Below are 1,327 nucleotides of genomic sequence, written 5' to 3' on the forward strand. Positions count from 1 at the left end.
TGCTATTTTATCACCAGCCAATTCAGCCTCTAGATGTCTCAGTTCTATACTTCTCAGAAATATTTAGCTCAGCACAGACTAAATATTTCCACCATGTTCACTATGTGTCTACCTCAATCCAACGTTTACTTTCTTTGTGTCATCCATTGCAGTCTCTCCCTCTTCCCAGGGAGGTTTTAATATGAGAAGCGAAAGGTTAGTGGTGGCCATCAAACTGAATAACATCTAAAATTAAAATCTTGAGAATAAATTTTGAACTTCTTCAATTGTCTCCTGGTTAGCCTCAATCTACCATTTATCTGTTTACTTACTGTCTCTAGTTGCATTTCCCCATACTCCACACATACATGCATATTGCATTTGAGGCATAAGCCTATGCCTTGGCTGTGTTTCCCTCTGCTGGAATTGTTTACCCTTCCTTCCACTCAGAAAAATCTTACTCCTTTAAAGCCTCAGCTGAACTGTAACCTCTTCCAAATCAACAAGGAAAGTCCATTTCCACCTCCACTGGAATCCCTTGGCATTTTAATTATACTGTTCATATAGCTGTTCATGACGTGGCTGACTTTGTCATGGTCCCCATGAGAGCTCCATTCACGCAGGCATCAGCATAACATAATTCCTGGGCCTGTTGTCCATTTTTGTGCCTTTCCCATTTTTGTTAAAAGTTTAATTTTAAAAGCCTCATCATTATTTCCAATTGCTGTTTCTCCATTTTCTCCTCCTAAACAACATACAACTCTTCTTGACAAAGTTATTTACTAACATTACTATAAGTAACTGATACTATTGGAGTTGTCCAAAATGTAAACAATACATAAGTGGTACCCATAAGATATTACAAAAGAAAAATTTCTGACTGAAAGTAACTGTGTATGCTAAGTCAACAGAATTTTAGACATCATCAACTTTAATTACATTAGCTGCCCCAAACAATCACAACTCAGATTAAATTAGATGGTCTAACAACATGAACAGTTTTCCATTCTTCCTATTCTAAAAGGCATTTTAAAATACAGAAATTTTATTTCAAGTGTTTTCTGTCCTGGAGATTAATGTTTCAACAGCTAATTCATTCAGTATCACTTAACATATTAGTAAAAGAATTATCATAACCCCCAAAAACACAAGTTGGAAAACAATGCTTCTTTTTTTGTTAAATTTTAATATGTATTTGATACATGCTACAGATAGGGGTTTTAAAATGCTCTACTGATTGATCTTCTCTCAGAAACTTTAAACCAAAGTTTTATGCTATTAAGATTCTGACTTATATTCAAATAAACTAAAAGTAACCAAACATGCCATCAATAAGCCTAATAAGATC

The sequence above is a fragment of the Homo sapiens genome, chromosome 14 (assembly GCF_000001405.40).
Source record: "Homo sapiens chromosome 14, GRCh38.p14 Primary Assembly".
Taxonomy (NCBI): domain Eukaryota; kingdom Metazoa; phylum Chordata; class Mammalia; order Primates; family Hominidae; genus Homo; species Homo sapiens.